Raw genomic sequence first — 16,896 nt, forward strand, 5'->3', positions numbered from 1 at the left:
TACAAAGATGAATAAATGATGGCATTTTTCTGTCTTCTGTGATAAACAGTGTTTCTGCAAGCCATGGTGTAGGTTTATGTGGACTTTATGGGTTTCATTTAATTCACATGAAATTATGCCAAAGAATGAGCCCATTCACTGTGTCCTGTATTTCTCCCAGCTGTATTTCTTTAAATATTATTAATAAGTTTCTGTACTACAAGCATTCATTAAACCCAAACATCCACTCCAACTGACAGCAATTGGGCCTGAGCAATTTGATATTATATTCCTGAAAAAAGAAAATGAAAACAAACTCTCATTTTATCAGTTTTCTCCCTTATCCCAGAAATTTAACAAGGGCAATGCAAACTGCTATCCTATAATTTATTCCACTGTCTGGAAGTCTAAAGCAGGACTGTGCAAGATAGTGTGAGCTACATGTGAATTTTAAACCTTCTAGTACCCACTTTAAGAAAAGTAGAAAGAGAAGGGACAATTTATTTTATTTAATTAATCTTTTTTTTTTTATAGAGATGTGGATCTCCCTATGTTGTCCAGGCTGGTCTCGAACTCCTGGGCTTAAGCAATCCTCCTGACTTGGCCTCCTAAAGTGCTGGGGTTACAGGAGTGTGACACTGCACCTGGCTGATTTTAATAATTTATTTAACCCAATACATCAGAAATATTATCATTTCAATACATAATCAACATTAAAAAAATGTTCATGGCCGGGCACGGTGGCTCATGCCTGTAGTCCTAGCACTTTGGGAGGCCGAGGCGGGTGGATCACGAGGTCAGGAGTTCGAGACCAGCCTGGTCAACATGGTGAAACCTGTCTCTACTAAAAATACAAAAATTAGCCGGGGGTGATGGTGTGCATCTGTAATCCCAGCTACTCAGGAGGCTGAGGCACGAGATTGCTTGAACCCAGGAGGCGGAGGTTGCAGTGAGCCGAGATAGCACCATTGCACTCCAGCCTGGGCAACAGAGCAAGACTGTCTCGGGAAAAAAAAAATTCAGATATTTTACATTCTTTCAGGCATTCAGTTAAATTTTTACACTTCACAGCATTTACAAGACCAGCCACATTTTAAGTGCCTGATAGCCACAATATTGGATGGCACAGGTCTAAGGGGTCTCTCTCTCTCCCTTTCTCTCATTGCATACAGGAAAGAGATAGCAGGGTCTTAGGATGTGGATTCAAAATGTATTAAATATCATAAGAGAATTGCATTCTAACTGGATGAAAAGGGCTGGAATCCCCACATCTCCTGATGTCTCTCTGGCCACAAACTCCATGGCCTTTCTGGCCTTTGATCTGGTCTTTTGTTGATCTCTGCTGGCAAAGGGCTGTGGTTTGAAGCGTTTCTGATTTCATGAAGTTGGAACTTATCCTGAACTGATGGTTCTACAATAACCTGATTTTATATGTACCTGATGTACTGAAATTAATGCTAACTTCAAAATTATTCCACTTCCTTTCTCTCAGCTTAAAACCCCCCACTCTCTCCCTATAATTTGAAGTCTTACCTCAAAAGTATATGCCCGTGAAAAGTGCCAAGTCAGCAAAAGGGTGAGGCCAAAGACATAAAAAGAATTGTGTGGGCCAGGCACAGTAGCTCAAGCCTGTAATCCCCAAGACTTTGGGAGGCTGAGGCAGAAGGATCGCTTGAGGCCAGGAAGTGGAAGCTGCAGTGACATATGATCACACCACTGCACTCTAGCCTGGGCAACAGAGCATGATCCCATCTGTAAATAAATTAATACATAGATAGATAAAATAATTGCGGGGACCCTTATTTGATACTCATGACCGCTGAACCACAGTTTAAGGAATGATTTTTTTTTTGTACTCAGCTCGAGAAGAGGTTAAAAAAATGCCTTTAAAAAATATTATATAGCATGTTCCTGAGTCCCAGACCAACCTTTCCTTTTTTCTCTTTTGTTCCCTTTTTAACACAATTCTCAGTTTCTGGGTAGCTACAAGCCCAGGATTGCACCCAGGATTCTAAATGAGATGTGAGAAACCATTTACAGAGAGGAACTATTACTTTGCTCTACAAGGAAATCCCCTGTTTGCAACTAGACTGTTGATGATATTATTATCTAGCCCTAGGGCTCTTTCCTCATTATTTTCTGCAATTCTACCTATTAGGGCTCCATTTAAATGTCTCATGGATACTACTTTGATGCATGACCTTCCAGCTTTGTGAGAGTGAATTTCATTAGCCTCATTTCTGCCCATTTCCCTAAACTGTTTAAATCTTTAGTAATCTGGTCCATTCCTAGAATGTAGCAACTGATACTCCTTCATCACAGATTCATCTGTAAACTTAGCTTCCTACCTCAGGACACAGTAAACTCCATGCTCCCTTTGTTTTAAAGGTACATAGTGTGGAGTAATTAGAATGGCACACTGAGGACAGAGGTCCTGCTTTTCTGGGGTGGTAGGTGTGCACCTGAATGCAGGCTGCCTGATCCTGGCTCCTCTGAGCTAAGCTCCCTCGCTGTCTCTACTCAGTGCCTTGGAGTTGTAAAGAGGGGACTCTTTCATATTCTGTCTATGTCATATTCATAGACAGAGTTTTCTCCTAATTCAGGTCTTCCTGCCCTGCTATAACCCTTAGCTCTGGCTAAAGTTTCATTTCTGCTTCTACTTCTAGGGAGGGGTGACGTTTTCATTGAGAAGTGCAATAGGCAGCGGATGTGGGGATTCCCTTTCTCCCCACCATCCCGCCCACCCCCTCCATGTGGCCGTCTTTCTCCCCACTCCCGACTGTGCTCACAACAAAGATAAGACTGCTGGGTTTCATAACTCACATGTCTCTCAGTACTGATTTTGACTTATTGAGGTTGCTACTTTGGCCCAATGCTGTAGGTTGATGCCTCTGTCCCGTTCAGTGATGCGAGCTGAGCTTTTAAACATCTGTGGTCTCACCTCACCTGTTTTTGTGTTTAACCACAATGGCTGAGTCTCTTCAGTGACAGAATGGTAAATCAGGATTTGAATCCAGGCCTTTGTACCCTAGGTTTGCATTCAAGGTAAAAGCTAGGCTTTGAGGAACATCAGCAGACAGTTGTGCATGGTTATGAGAAATAGAGAGGGGTGGGGAAAGAGACACAGGCAGGGAGGTCAGAGAAGGTACTGGGACAAGTGTGAGGTAATGAGCAACCTGACTGGCATCAGGGCAGAAACAAGGCAATTGCTGTGACAGACATTTTGAGGTTGAGGATCAATATAATTTGGCATAGTGATTTTATGGTGGGGGTGGGGAAGAGGAAGGTGACTGGCTGGCACTTTCAGGTCACAGAACAAGTGTCAGGAGACCCAGTCAAATCAGTTAAACTTCTTTGATTCTATTTCTTCATGTGGGAACTGATGGGGTTGAACAAAATAATGTCAGGTACATTCTAGAACCAGGGTTCCTTGGCTTTCATCATTGTCTGTACTCATTCTCCTCAAGTAGACAGCGTTAGGCAATGTTCATCACTTAGGATTTGATCTCAGGACTTTGGTCAGGCTTTGGATGGCACAGTGTCACCCAAGAGATATGGTCTGTGGGCTGCCATGAAAACACTCACACCAGAAATATCTCTTGCCTCTTTCACGTAGATGTTAAGGGTGAGGCTCCAGGGCACATTGCCTGGGCTTGAATTCCAGCTTCACCGCTTATTAGCTGCATGGCTTTTGGCAACTGAATTAACTTCTCTGTGCCTCAGTTTCCTCATCTGTAAAACTGACCTAATAATAGTGCCTATCTCACTGCATTGTTATGAGGATTCAATGAGATAGTACATTTGCCTGACACATAGTATTATACATTTAGCCATTATCATTTCATATTTCTTGGTTCCTGAAATCCCACCATTTATGATTTATCCAAATAGGACATTTAATTGTTCCTTCAAGAAAAAAAACAAAAACAAGAAAAAAAATAAAGGAAGCCATTTTGCCAAAGTCGCAGTATGAATGAACTCATCAGAGACATTCTGATGGGAGTGAGAGCAAACTTTAGTCATGAGGAATCGGAGGACATGGTATGGGGCACTGGGGCTGATGAGGAAAGCAGGCCTGGAGGAGGGGCCTGGGTTTGGGCAGTCAGACCACAGCAGGAGAGCGCCAGCCTCCAGGTGGAGGAGAGGATGGCACTGCACGAAGGGAGATGGGCACGGAACAAGGAGGGGAAGGTGCCAAGGTTATTTTGGCTCTCCATCCACTGCCAAGGTGTGAAGAGCTATGAGGCAAAATGGTCACAGTCCTTGGAAAGCCAGGGTCCCTGCTGCCCCATCTTTCTCTTTTTTTACCCGCCCCGTAGGACTGGACAGCAAGGAATGCAAACAGACCTGTTCTCTCACTGCCTCTGAAAAGAGTGAAAAAGATCTGCAGTGGCAGCTGAGGGAAAACTGAAGAAAGGGCCCCTTGGGGTCAGCATCTCCCGTAGCTTGCGCACTTTGCCTTCCACTATCACCCTCCACCAAAAATAAACGGGAGCAGCTTGAAGAGCAACCCAATATGCTTCAACCTACTTCTGGGCTTCCCAGTGAAACTTTAAGTCTTTTGAGGGCAGAAACCATATGTCACAGACTTTGTCTACCACAGCATCTGGGTCATTTGCTGAGCCGGTTCTGACCCGAGGCCTGTCTGGATGAACAAAAGCATGAGTAACTCTCAAGACAAGTAGGTACAGTTTGTCACAAGAATTACAGAATAGAATAAACCCTCTGTTTCTTGTTGCTAGAAACTTGAAAACAGCCCTTCCAGGTTTATTTGGTTTTTAATAATGCCCACGAAGAAACATTTTAACTCCTCAGATATAGCTACTGGTGTCTGAATTCTAATAGCTTGTTCCAATTGCAACGAGTCTCTATTCTTATAATGTTTAACATTGAACATGTAGAATCAAATGTTTCATCTTCTCTTTGGTGTTATTTTCCTTTTAAATATTTTATTATTGTTGGAATAATAATACTGATTTGTGTATTATTTTAAATAAGTTTTATTTTATTTTATTTTATTTTTATTTATTTATTTATTTATTTTTTGAGACGGAGTCTCGCTTTATCGCCAGGCTGGAGTGCAGTGGCGCAATCTCAGCTCACTGCAACCTCCGCCTCCCAGGTTCAAGAGATTCTCCTGCCTCAGCCTCCTGACTGAGTAGCTGTGATTACGGATGCGCACCACCATACCAGGCTAATTTTTGTATTTTCAGTAGAGACAGGGTTTCACTGTGTTGGCCAGGCTGATCTCGAACTCCTGACCTCGTGATCTGCCCGCTTCGGCCTCCCAAAGTGCTGGGATTACAGGCATGAGCCATGGCTCCCGGCCATAATTTTTATTTCAAAAATTCTTGTTTTATACCTGGGATTCAAAGAATCATGTAGGGCCAGGCATGGTGGCTCATGCCTGTAATCCCAGCACTAAAGCTAAAAGTGGGGGATCGCTTGAGGCAAGGAGTTTGAGACCAGCCTGGGCAACATAGTCAGACCCTGTTTTTACAAAAAATAAAAATAAAAAACTTAGCCAGGTGTGGTACTATGCACCTGTAGTTCAAGCTACTCAGGTGGCTGAGGTGGGAGGATCGCTTGAGCCTGGGAGGTGGAGGCTGCAGTGAGCCATAATCAGACTACTGCACTCCAGCCTGGGCAACAGAGTGAAACTCTGTCTCAAAAAATAATAATAATATAATAAAACAAAGAATCATGCAAACTTATATGAGGTAGTAGTGGGAAAAAGGCACAAGTTTTATAATTATATAGACTTGGACTTAAATCCATGTTTTACTATGCCTGGAATGCAATCTTGGGCAAGTTACTTAACCCCTCTGTGCCTCAGTCTTCTCATCTGTAAAATGGGATAGTAATAGTTCCTACTACATGATGTTGTTGTAAGGATTATGTGGGTTAATGAATATAAACCAGTTGGCACATGTAAGTTGTTAGTAAACGTGACTTCCTTTTTCTACCACTATAAAGATTTCCATGGTAGTCCAGTTTCTGCTGCAATAATGCTGCATAACAAACACCTCCAAAATTTCAATGGCTTCCAATAAGCATTCACTTCCTTGGTCATAGGTCCGATAGTTGGCTGGGGTGGCTCTATTTCAGGCTGCTTGTGAGGTTCAGGTCGACTTCATGTGTCTTTCTGGGATCAGATTGAAGGGGCAGTGGCTACATGGAGCAAGATCATTTAAAACCTCTGCTCTTAACACATTTGCTTTCATTCCATTGGCCAAGCCCAAAGTCAGTGGAGCAAGAAGGTGCAGGAAAAAGGAAATGGCTATTTGCTGAGTAGTAATCTAATTTGTCACAACCGAGAGTTTAATATTTATAAATTTCTGAATTATATATCAACAAAGAGAATGAGAAAACCTAGATCAAGTGTCCATAACTATTATCTTCCTAATATTTTAGGGGAAAAAAATCAATCAATCCAGTATTCAATTTTTGGCCAGGCGCGGTGGCTCACGCCTGTAATCCCAGGACTTTAGGAGGCCTAGGCAGGTGGATCACTTGAGGTGAGGAGTTCGAGACCAGACTGGCCAACATGGCAAAACTCTGTCTCTACTAAAAACAAAAAATTAGCCAGGTGTGGTGGTGTGGCGTGTGCCTGTAATCCCAGCTACTCGGGAGGCTGAGGCAGGAGAATCGCTTGAACCTGGCAGGCAGAGGTTGCAGTGAGCTGAGATCATGCCACTGCACTCCAGCCTGGGGAATAAGAGTGAAAACTCCATCTAAAAAAAAAAAAAAATTTTGAATTCAGTTTTAAGGATGCTTTTTATATATTGCCAAGTATTACAGAATTTCGCTTTCTTTTTAATGACTATAAATCTAAAAATTTAAAAATGAAACACTATGTTATTTATAGTGTTTTATTATGTTACTTTATATAAATTTTAATAATATATAAATGTTCTAAATAGGTTTTATTTTTATTGTGTTATATACTATATAAATAGTTCTCTAAGCAGTTACTGAGAGCCTAGCACAGATATGTTCTAGGGATTCTGAGGACTAACAAAGTAGGCAGAATAATGTCATGGAAGATGTCCAAAGGCTTGGGCTCTGGTCCTAGCCCGCCAATGGGTCTGTGGGCTGCCAATGGCTCATGCACATTCATACTTTCCCTCTCTAGGGAAAAGTGGCCAGGTGATCTGTCTGGCCCCAGATGTTTTGTTTTTGGACAGAGGATACAGTGCCTGCTTTCAGAAGAAATGGGAATACCCAAAATACAGAGGAAGGAATGTATATGTTGTCCTATCTCTACCAAAACTCAGCACAGGGAAGTGGTTCTGTATACAGGTGCAAAGGCCAGACTGCCTAAGTCTGAATCCTGGCTCTGCCACTTACCTTGGGCACCTTAGGTAACCCCTCTGAAATCTGTAAAATGATGATTTAAAATTGTACCTACTTCATAGAGCTTTTGTCAGAATTAAACAAATTACTCATCAATAGTAGTCAGAACAGGCCAGGCGCAGTGGCTCACACCTGTAATCCCAGCAATTTGGGAGGCTGAGGCAGGTGGATCACATGAGGTCAGGAGTTTGAGACCAGCCTGGCCAACATGGCAAAACCCCGTCTCTACTGAAAATACAAAAGATAGCTGGGCATGGTGGCATGCGCCTGTAGTCCCAGCTACTTGGGAGGCTGAGGCAGGAGAATCGCCTGAATCTGGGAGGCAGAGGTTGCAGTGAATGGAGATTGTGCCACTGCACTCCAGCCTGGGTGACAGAGAAAGCCTCCATCTCAAAAATTAAAAAATTTAAAAAAAAGGAGTTAGAACACTGTCTGATACCCAGGAAATGTTACAGCAGTGTTATTCATTACCTTTGTTAAACAGTTTAAAAGTTTGAGCTATTATCTTGCTCCTTAAAGAATCACTAAATGATTTCTGATCTACAATAGCTCCTTTTCATTTGTCAGAGAAACTGTGTCTATTAACTAGTAAGAAAGGAATTCTAAGTCTATTGTCTTAGAAGTAATTTAATCATTAGCTTCTCCAGTAGCTTTAAATTGTGGATAATAACCAGAGACTATTTAAGAGAGTGCAATTACTTCAACCTTCATCAGTCCATTGCAGCTCCATCTAACCATATATTTTTGTTTTTCCCTAACTATTAGTGTTAGTAAAAAAACTAATCAAAAAGAGTATCAGTCATCCTCATTTAGTTTGGTTCATTGCTTTATGGTCTTACCTTCTTTGATCTTTGATTGTTTCTTTACTCACCTTCTACTTTCATTGACTACATTATTTTAAAAATAATTATATTGTTATTTTCATTTCATATTGTTAAAAGCATAGGAACTGGTCCCCTAAATACTTAACTGATGATTATTTGCTATTATTAACAGTTTTATGAAATTCACAGTTTCATTTTCATAATTACCATTTTACTATTTAGCATACTTATTTTAAATGAAATAATAAAATAGTGCTCCTCCAACAAAGCATAAAACTTTATGGTAACTGGCTACTTTGTTGCTCTTTCAACCAAATAAAAATTTTTATATTTATTTATGAGATTTTGCTTCCTTTTGTGAAATAAAGACCTAATGAGCACAAAAATGAAGTCTTGATGCTCATGAAATCGTGATAAATATCATCACTTTTTCCCTTACTTATTGCCAAATGTCTGCCCTTCCATGCACACCCACACTCACCACCAACTACAGGGACTCACCAGTGTTCTGTGCTATGTTCAGCAGGCCAGGATGCACTATGAATATAAATGGTGAGGGGATACAGGGCTGTAACCAAGGAGCTCAGAGAGGCCAGGAGGAAGCCAAGCACCAAATCCTAGCTGTCCTAGCTTCTAGTCATTGCATTGCTGCCAAAGATGCCAAATGCTGTGGGGGGTTAACTACGATCACAACATTCACCTCTTTGCATTCTCACAAACACCCCAAAACTTGCAGACACCTCATTGCACAACTCCAGGGGGCACTGTTCACATACTGCCCAGCAGCTCTGTGAACTTGCTCTCATGTGTCCAACCTTTATCTCTAACTCTAGCCCTACCTCTTCTACCTTCTCCTGGTTAGCTTTTGTAGAGACTAAAAAATTAAATGCAGTTAATCAGAATACTCTGGTGACTAGCATTTTCTTGAGATTAGAAAAGATGAGAATGAAAGCTCAAGCAAGCTGCAGAGACATGGACTCTGCTTTCAAAAGCTGTCTGAAACTTTCAGATCTATAAAGAAATTTGACTTTTTGTAAAAGACCTTTGCATATGTTAATCATGGTCACTAAGGATCATAAGGTCTGAATATCAGAAGATGTCACCATCATAGCCTATCTACACAAGTCCTATGCAGCAATAATATGGCCTGGATTTTTGGCAATCTACTACATATATAACTGATATGATTGATTTTAAACCTGTGAAAGACTAATCATATAAATGCACTTATCTATCAGGAAAAACAAATCTTCTGTAAGATTATGTCCATATTTTGGTATTGGAATAAGTGGTCATTATAGGTATACATCTAACTGATGCAGGTATCTCCTTTATTTATTTATTTATTTAAGACCAAGTCTCACTCTGTCACCCAGGCTGGAGTGCAGTGGCATGATCTCAGCTCACTGCAGCCTCAACTTCCCAGGCTCAGGTGATCCTCTCACCTCAGCTTCCTGAGTAGCTGGGACTACAGGTGTGTGCCACCATGCCTGGCTAATTTTTGTATTTTTTGTAGAGATGGGGTTTCACCATGTTGCTCAGGCTGGTCTTGAACTCCTGAGCTCAAGCAATCTGCCCACTGCTTTGGCCTTCCAAAATGCTGGGATTACAGGTGTGAGCCACCATGCCCGGCTGATGTCTGTATTTTTTTTTGGTTTTTTTTTTGAGGCGGAGTCTCGCCCTGTCACCCAGGCTGGAGTGCAGTGGCTCGATCTCAGCTCACTGCAACCTCCACCTCCCAGGTTCAAATGATTCTCCTGCCTCAGCCTCCCGAGTAGCTGGGATTACAGGCGCCCGCCACCATGCCCAGCTAATTTTTGTATTTTTAGTAGAGACAGGGTTTCACCATGTTGGCCAGGCTGGTCTCCAACTGTGACCTCGTGATCCACCTGCCTTGGCCTCCCAAAGTGCTAGGATTACAGGCATGAGCCACTGCACCCGGCCATCTGTATTTTCTTTTTTTTAAAAAAACAAATCTATTGAGTTCACTGGTCTCACAAAGGCTATCTAGGCTTTTGGTTACTAACTTAAACAGGAAAAACCAATGTTTTTGCAAAACAAAATGGAGATCAACAACTTAATTAGTTATTTGAAAGTACTATGTATCCAAGATTAAAACCATACTCAAAGATTAATCAAGAAAAGCTATGGAAGCTTCAATTACACATACAGGAAATTGAAATCCAGAGAATCCTACTTTACAGATTTTCTTAAAAGGAAGCATACAGCTCAGTCAGAACCTATTATCTTCAGTACACACTGAATGCTAGGAGAGGATGGCAGGAGAAATCTGAGCTATCAGACCTTCTTCACCTTGGAGCCACTACTGATTCCTCAGTTCCTGGATTGATGTGCCCAGGACACCTTTAGTCTGGGTCTTTCTTTAAACCTCATATGAATCCTTGAATCATTTACAATGATCTCTCATTTTTAAAAAAAAGTCAGAAATGCATCATCACCCAATACCTCTCCAACAACATTAAGGTAAATCATTTTAATTTTCTTTTTCTTTTCTTTTTTTTTTTTTTTTTGAGCCAGAGTCTTGCTTGGTTGCCCAGGCTGGAGTGCAGTGGTGAGATCTTGGCTCTGCCTCCTGAGTTCAAGCAATTCTCCTGCCGCAGCCTCCTGAGTAGCTGGGATTACAGGCAGGCGCCACCAGGCCCAGCTGATTTTTGTATTTTTAGTAGAGACAGGGTTTCACCATGTTGGCCAGGCTGGTCTCGAACTCCTGACATCAGGTGATCCACCTGCCTCGGCCTCCCAAAGTGCTGGGATTACAGGCATGAGCCACCGCGCCCAGCCAATTATTTAATTTTCTAGAGGTTTGAATGATTTATAATTTTACATGTACTATTTAATATCTATTAATGAAAGTTCAAGTATACAAACTAATTTTTCTTTTTCTTTCTCTTTCTTTCTTTCTTTTCTCTCTCTCTCCCTCTATCTCTCCCTTTCTTTCTTTCCTTCCTTCCCTCCCTTCCTCCCTTCCTTCCTTTCTTCCTTCCTTCCTTCCTTTCTCTCTTTCTCTCTCTTTTTCCTTTTTTTGTGATAGGGTCCTGCTCTATCACCCAGGCTGGGGTGCAATTGTTCAAACAGCTCACTGCAGCCTTGACCTCCTGGGCTCAAGCGATCCTCCCAACCTCAACCTGCTGAGTGGCTAGGACTATAGGTACATTCCACCACACCCAGCTGATTTTTTAATTTTTTGTAAAGACAGGGTCTCGCTATGTTGCTCAGGCTACAAACTAATTTCTTAACACAATGCTATCTTTCTCCATAAATAAAATTAAAGTATAACTACTTATACTAAAACACACACACAAACTTCCACACTTTTTCTTCACCCTCAAATCCAAAAGAATTTAAAGGAAATTGAATATTTATTTATCCATAAGTAAATGAATATGAAATCTGCTCATTATTTTAAAAGGACATATAGTGAACATCTCCCAGCTGTCTCCTCTCCATAGGCTACCACATTTGCCTTTTTACTATCCTTCCAAAGATAATTTCTGTGTGTTAGTGTGTATGTAGACGCATACACGCACATTTATATAAAATGCTATTTCAATTAGGAATTTTCTGTATTTATATTTTTGCATTCATGAAAGTCATAAACTACTTAATTGTGTAAAATGTCATAAAAATCATGACACTTTGGCTGGGAGTGGTGGCTTACGCCTATAATCCCAGCACTTTGGGAGGCCGAGGCTGGTGGCTCACTAAGGTCAAGAGTCCGAGACCAGCCTGGCCAACATGGTGAAACCCCATCTCTACTAAAAATACAAAAATTAGCTGAGTGTGGTGGCACCCACCTGTAATTCCAGCTACTTGGTAGGCTGAGGCAGGAGAATCGCTTCAACCCGGGAGGCAGAGGTTGCAGTGAGTGAAGATCATGCCATTGCACTCCAGCCTGGGAGACAGAGAGAGACTCAGTCTCAAAAAAAAAACAAAAACAAAAACAAAAATCATGACACTTGTTTATAAATGCCCTAATGTCCTTTCTGTGAAGCACTACATTTAATTGAATGCACTCGGTTGCCTAACTCTTATGCCATAGCAGCTTTGTCAGTTCTAAAATGCTGCCCTGGCTTCAGGATTCATTTTACTATTATCTCCTGACTCCCAGCCCTTAAAATTCTCTGTAATTCCAATGTAAATATCACAGGATTCCAAATAGAAAAAAAAAAGTTAAAAACAGTCCCTCCCTAGTTAAAATCGCCCTTCTCTTAGCAGACTCTTTGCTTTCCTTTAGATATGTTGGATTTTTGAGAACTTGTCAGAGACATATCAGTCCCTGATCGCCAGTAGTTAATTATCTGTACTGTGAATGTGTTCACGGAAGTTCTGGTGAACTATCCAATCCTTCAGTGATGGTATTGGGCGGAGAAAGCCATGGCAGATGCTGCCACCTGGGGAGCACAGGGAAGAGTTGTAAAATGCACTGAGAAGGAGGGATTCGAACACCAGCCAGAAGAACTCAGATTTGATGAGGCTGTTAGCCGGGAGCAGTTGAAGGTTTCTGAGTAAGGAAACATCAGAGAAGGACAGCAGGTCCTCGAATAACATCATTTTGCTCAATGCCATTTCGTTATAATGTTTTGTTTTTTAAACAGATTCTCACTGTTACCCAGGCTGGAGAGAAGCAGCATGATCACAGCTCACTGAAACCTCGGCCTCCCCAGGCTCAGGCGAGTAGCTAGGACCATAGGCACATGCCACCAGGGCTGGCTAATTTTTGCATTTTTTTTTTTTTGTAGAGAAGAGGGTCTCACTATGTTGCCCAGGCTGTTCTCAAACTCCTGGGCTCAAGCGATCTGTCCACCTCGGCCTCCCAAAGTGCTGGGATTATAGGCTTGTGCCACCATGCCTGGCCGCGTTATAATGTTGATGAGAAAAACATGGATTCCCGGCTGGGGCCACTGTCTGTGTGGAGTTCGTATGTTCTCCCTATGTCGGCATGGGTTATCTTTGGGTGCTGTGGTTTCCTCCCACATCCCAAAGGTGTGCACGTAAGGTCATTGGCATGTCTACATGGTCCCAATGTGAGTGTGGGTGAGTGGGTGCTCCCTGCATAGGAGTGGAGTGCGGGTGAGTGAATGCTCCCTGCATGTGAGTGGAGTGTGGGTGAGTGCTCCCTGCGTGGGAGTGGACTGTGGGTGTGAGTGCTCCCTGCAAAGGGATGGTAGTCTGTCCAGGGTGGGTTCCCACCTGGCCCCCTGGGCTGCTGGGATGAGCTTTCAATGTTTTTTTGTTTTGTTTTATTTTTTGAGACAGAGTTTCGCTCTCGTTGCTCAGGCTGGAGTGCAATGGCACGATTTCGGCTCACAGCATCCTCCGCTTCCCAGGTTCAAGCGATTCTCCCGCCTCAGCCTCTGAGTAGCTGGGATTACAGGCCTGTGCCACCACGCCTGGCTAATTTTTGTATTTTTTAGTACAGATGGGGTTTCTCCATGTTGGTCAGGCTGGTCTCAAACTCTCGACCTCAGGTGATCCGCCCGCCTTGGCCTCCCAAAGTGCTGGGATTACAGGCATGAGCCACCACGCCCGGCCAGAACTTTCAATGTTTTGTTTGTGTGTTTTCTTGTAGTCTTGCTCTGTCGCCCAGGCTGGAGTGCAGTGGCGTGATCTCGACTCACTGCAACCTCTGCCTCCCGGGTTCACGACATTCTCCTGCCTCAGCCTCCCGAGTAGCTGGGACTACAGGCGCCCGCCACCACGCCCGGTTAATTTTTTGTATTTTTAGTAGAGACGGGGTTTCACTGTGTTAGCCAGGGTGGTCTCGATCTCTTCACCTCGTGATCTGCCCACCTCAGCCTCCCAAAGTGCTGTGATTACAGGCGTGAGCCACCGCGCCCGGCCATCGAGCTTTCAATGTTTACTATCAGAAGTGCTTTGGTCTGTATTTAAAAGTTCGGTGATATTTTTGTGACCAGGAATATGCCATGGGAACTTCACTCTTGTTTATATCAATTAACCTGTGGTAGAATTGGTTTTGCTATGTGTCGTTTCACTTAAAGTCACAGTTTCCAAGAATTTATCAACGACATGAAGTGAGTACTTACTGTAGTGATATTTTACTTGGAAAATATTCTCCTCCTGTGGATTCCTGTGGATTAGAGGAATATTGAGGGGAAAGGGCTAATATTTTGAAGTGATGAAGTCTTGGGCTTCAGTACCAGCATGAAAATGTGGACATTTTGAAAAAATACAGATAGGACTTCGTGACTAAGCAGATATGGAGATTAGGAAGAGAAATGAGTCAGTGATGACAGCAGGGCTTTGACTGAGCAGGACTGGGGGCGTGGTAGCACCATAGGCAATAGGGAAGTCAGAAAGGAGGAACTAGGCTTTCTGTAGGGAAGATGATAAATTTGGCTTTGGAAATGCCGATTTTGAGGCAAAAAGTTCAGTGAAAAGTTGAAGATATATATCTTCAACTATAGCTAGCTAGCTAGCTAGCTAGATAGAAAGGAGCCAGGGCACAAGCAAAAGGATGGGATTGGAGATTGTATGTGTATATATGTTTTTATCATGTAATATTTCAAATACATCAAATGTAAATCAAATAGTAATGAACTTTCATGGCCTATCACCTGACTTTAATAATGATAAACTCTTGGCCAAACTTCATCCACAGTCCTCACCTTGTATTATTCTGAAGCAAATTCTAGACATGGAGATAGGGATTTAAAAGTATGAAGCACAGAAAATATAGATTTGGGGAAAACCTCAGAGAACCTTAAAGCAAACTTTCTCATTTTACAGTTGAGCAAAGCTAAAGATTAGAGAAGTAATTAATTTGCCCTATTAAAAAAACAAAACTGGTAGAGCTGTAAACGGAATCCAGTTATTTGCAAACAGCTTTGCCAAGGGGTCTTCTTTCTGCGATGAAATGAGGAAAGTAAAGCTGATGTGCAAATTTTTCAAAGCTAAAATTTATTTGTAAGTTACTATTTGTAAACATTACAAAAATAAACACTCGTCTTATGCTTTATTTGTAATTTTGTCCTATATCATCACACGTGCAACACATTATAAAATATAAAATAGGTTCTCACACTAACAGTAGAACAAGAGAACTGTGTTTACTTAATTATCCATTGGTTGGTTTTCACACTGTGGCCCTAGAGCCTCTGAGGTCATTGTAAGTATGCCTTGGCGGCAACAAAAGAGTCCTATCTGTCCGGAGTCAGTTTACTGGTGGCTGCCAGGAAAGTCACCTTGGATGACACGTTACCTCTTGTACCATACCTCTGTTTATGGAGTAAACTTCATATTGATTGTGGTGAGTAGACTGTATAACAAGGCAATAAGAGATGCGTTGATATTAATTCCAGAGAAGGGCACAACCCAAATAATATTCAGCTGCCAGAAGAAAATAGTGTAGTTTTACTGGAAAATATGACAGGTCGTGGATCCAGCTTAGATTTATTAAATTAATCAGTGAGTCACAGTTTAAATATGTGGCAATGATCTTTGTAAAGATGTTATGAAACCAAAAAAACTAAAAAAAAAAAAAAGAACCCACTTTGACTTGTTGAATAAAAAGGTGATTTAAAAAACGTGCTTGGGCCTGGGCGTGGTGGCTCCCAGCACTTTGGGAGGCCAAGATGGGCAGATCACCTGAGGCCTGGAGTTTGAGACCAGCCTGACCAACATGGTGAAACCTTGTCTCTACTAAAAATACAAAAATTAGGCTGGGTGTGGTGGCTCACGCCTGTAATCCCAGCACCATGGGAGGCCAAGGTGGGCGGATCACCTGAGGTCCAGAGTTTGAGACCAGCCTGGCCAACATGGTGAAACCTCATTTCTACTAAAAATACAAAAATTAGGCTGTGTGTGGTGGCTCAGGCCTGTAATCCCAGCACTTTGGGAGGTCGAGGTGGGTGGATCACTAGGTCAAGAGATGGAGACCATCCTGGCCAACATGGTGAAACCCAGTCTCTACTAAAAATACAAAAATTAGCTGGGCGTGGTGGTGTACAGCTGTAGTCCCAGCTACTCAGGAGGCTGAGGCAGGAGAATCACTTGAACCTGGGAGGTGGAGGTTGCAGTGAGCCAAGATAACGCTGCTGCACTCCAGCCTGGACAGCAGAGTGAGACTCCATCTCAAAATAATAATAAAAAAATAAATAAAATAAAAATGTGCTTGGTATTAGAAATACTAATAGAATGGCATTAAAAGTATCTTATAAAGTGGCACTGAATATTCTAGAATCTAAAAGCCACCCCTTAAGGTGTTTGCCATATAAAAGATGTTTGCTTCAATCTGGCAATAAAGCAACCAATTCAGTATTTTTATAATATAGTTACTGTAAAACAAATGTCTGAGAGTGTATGTGATTATTAGTTTTTTTAGCTAATTAAAAATTTAAACTGTATGGTAATTCTCACAAAAATCTATTATTTAAAATTTTATAATATAGTACATTAGTGTCCTTTCTGGGGAAGGATGGTCTCTTATTCAGAGAGTAAGTCCTTCTCTCTTGTTTAGTACTACATGTTTTTTCTTTCATGAACTAATGATAGGTGGTAGCTTTTTAAAAAGAAGATCTTTAATTGGGAAAAAAATACTGGCAACACTGGGACCAAATTTTTTTAAAAGTCTAATGTTCTGGTCTCTAAAATACATAATTGAGGAAACCACTGCATTGCTGCACCCCAGACAACAGAAGAGCAGACATGTGAGACAAGGAAGTTGCCAAAGGAAAGATCTTAAGGAATGAGAAGCAGA

The 16,896-nt window shown here is 41.9% G+C and overlaps 1 protein-coding gene across 6 annotated transcripts in view, besides 2 other annotated features; it reads right to left on the bottom strand.

Moving 5' to 3' along the window:
• Positions 13,061-13,776: an enhancer, noted in NCBI's record as "H3K27ac-H3K4me1 hESC enhancer chr1:200607918-200608633 (GRCh37/hg19 assembly coordinates)". NCBI's record gives its function as "activates a minimal SCP1, AML or CMV promoter by ChIP-STARR-seq in naive H9 embryonic stem cells {active_cell/tissue: H9 hESC(naive)}" and the evidence as "EXISTENCE:reporter gene assay evidence [ECO:0000049][PMID:30033119]".
• Positions 13,752-14,951: an enhancer, noted in NCBI's record as "MED14-independent group 3 enhancer chr1:200608609-200609808 (GRCh37/hg19 assembly coordinates)". NCBI's record gives its function as "activates an origin of replication core promoter dependent on BRD2, BRD4, P300/CBP and CDK7 cofactors, and independent of MED14, by STARR-seq in HCT116 cells {active_cell/tissue: HCT116}" and the evidence as "EXISTENCE:reporter gene assay evidence [ECO:0000049][PMID:35650434]".
• The window catches only part of DDX59 (DEAD-box helicase 59), a 29,103-nt gene continuing 27,282 nt past the window's right edge, over positions 15,076-16,896 (bottom strand). For 3 of the 6 annotated variants that reach the window (XM_047431475.1, NM_001349802.3, XM_047431461.1), the window contains one exon: positions 15,076-15,456. In XM_047431475.1, coding sequence (XP_047287431.1) covers positions 15,379-15,456 — 78 coding nt within the window. In that variant the 3' untranslated portion in view covers positions 15,076-15,378. Of the gene's footprint in view, positions 15,528-16,896 lie in introns of all 6 variants that reach the window. The other 3 variants (XM_047431471.1, NM_001320181.2, XM_047431472.1) reach the window with 1 other exon arrangement.

The sequence above is a fragment of the Homo sapiens genome, chromosome 1, assembly GCF_000001405.40.
Source record: "Homo sapiens chromosome 1, GRCh38.p14 Primary Assembly".
In the NCBI taxonomy this organism is placed as follows: domain Eukaryota; kingdom Metazoa; phylum Chordata; class Mammalia; order Primates; family Hominidae; genus Homo; species Homo sapiens.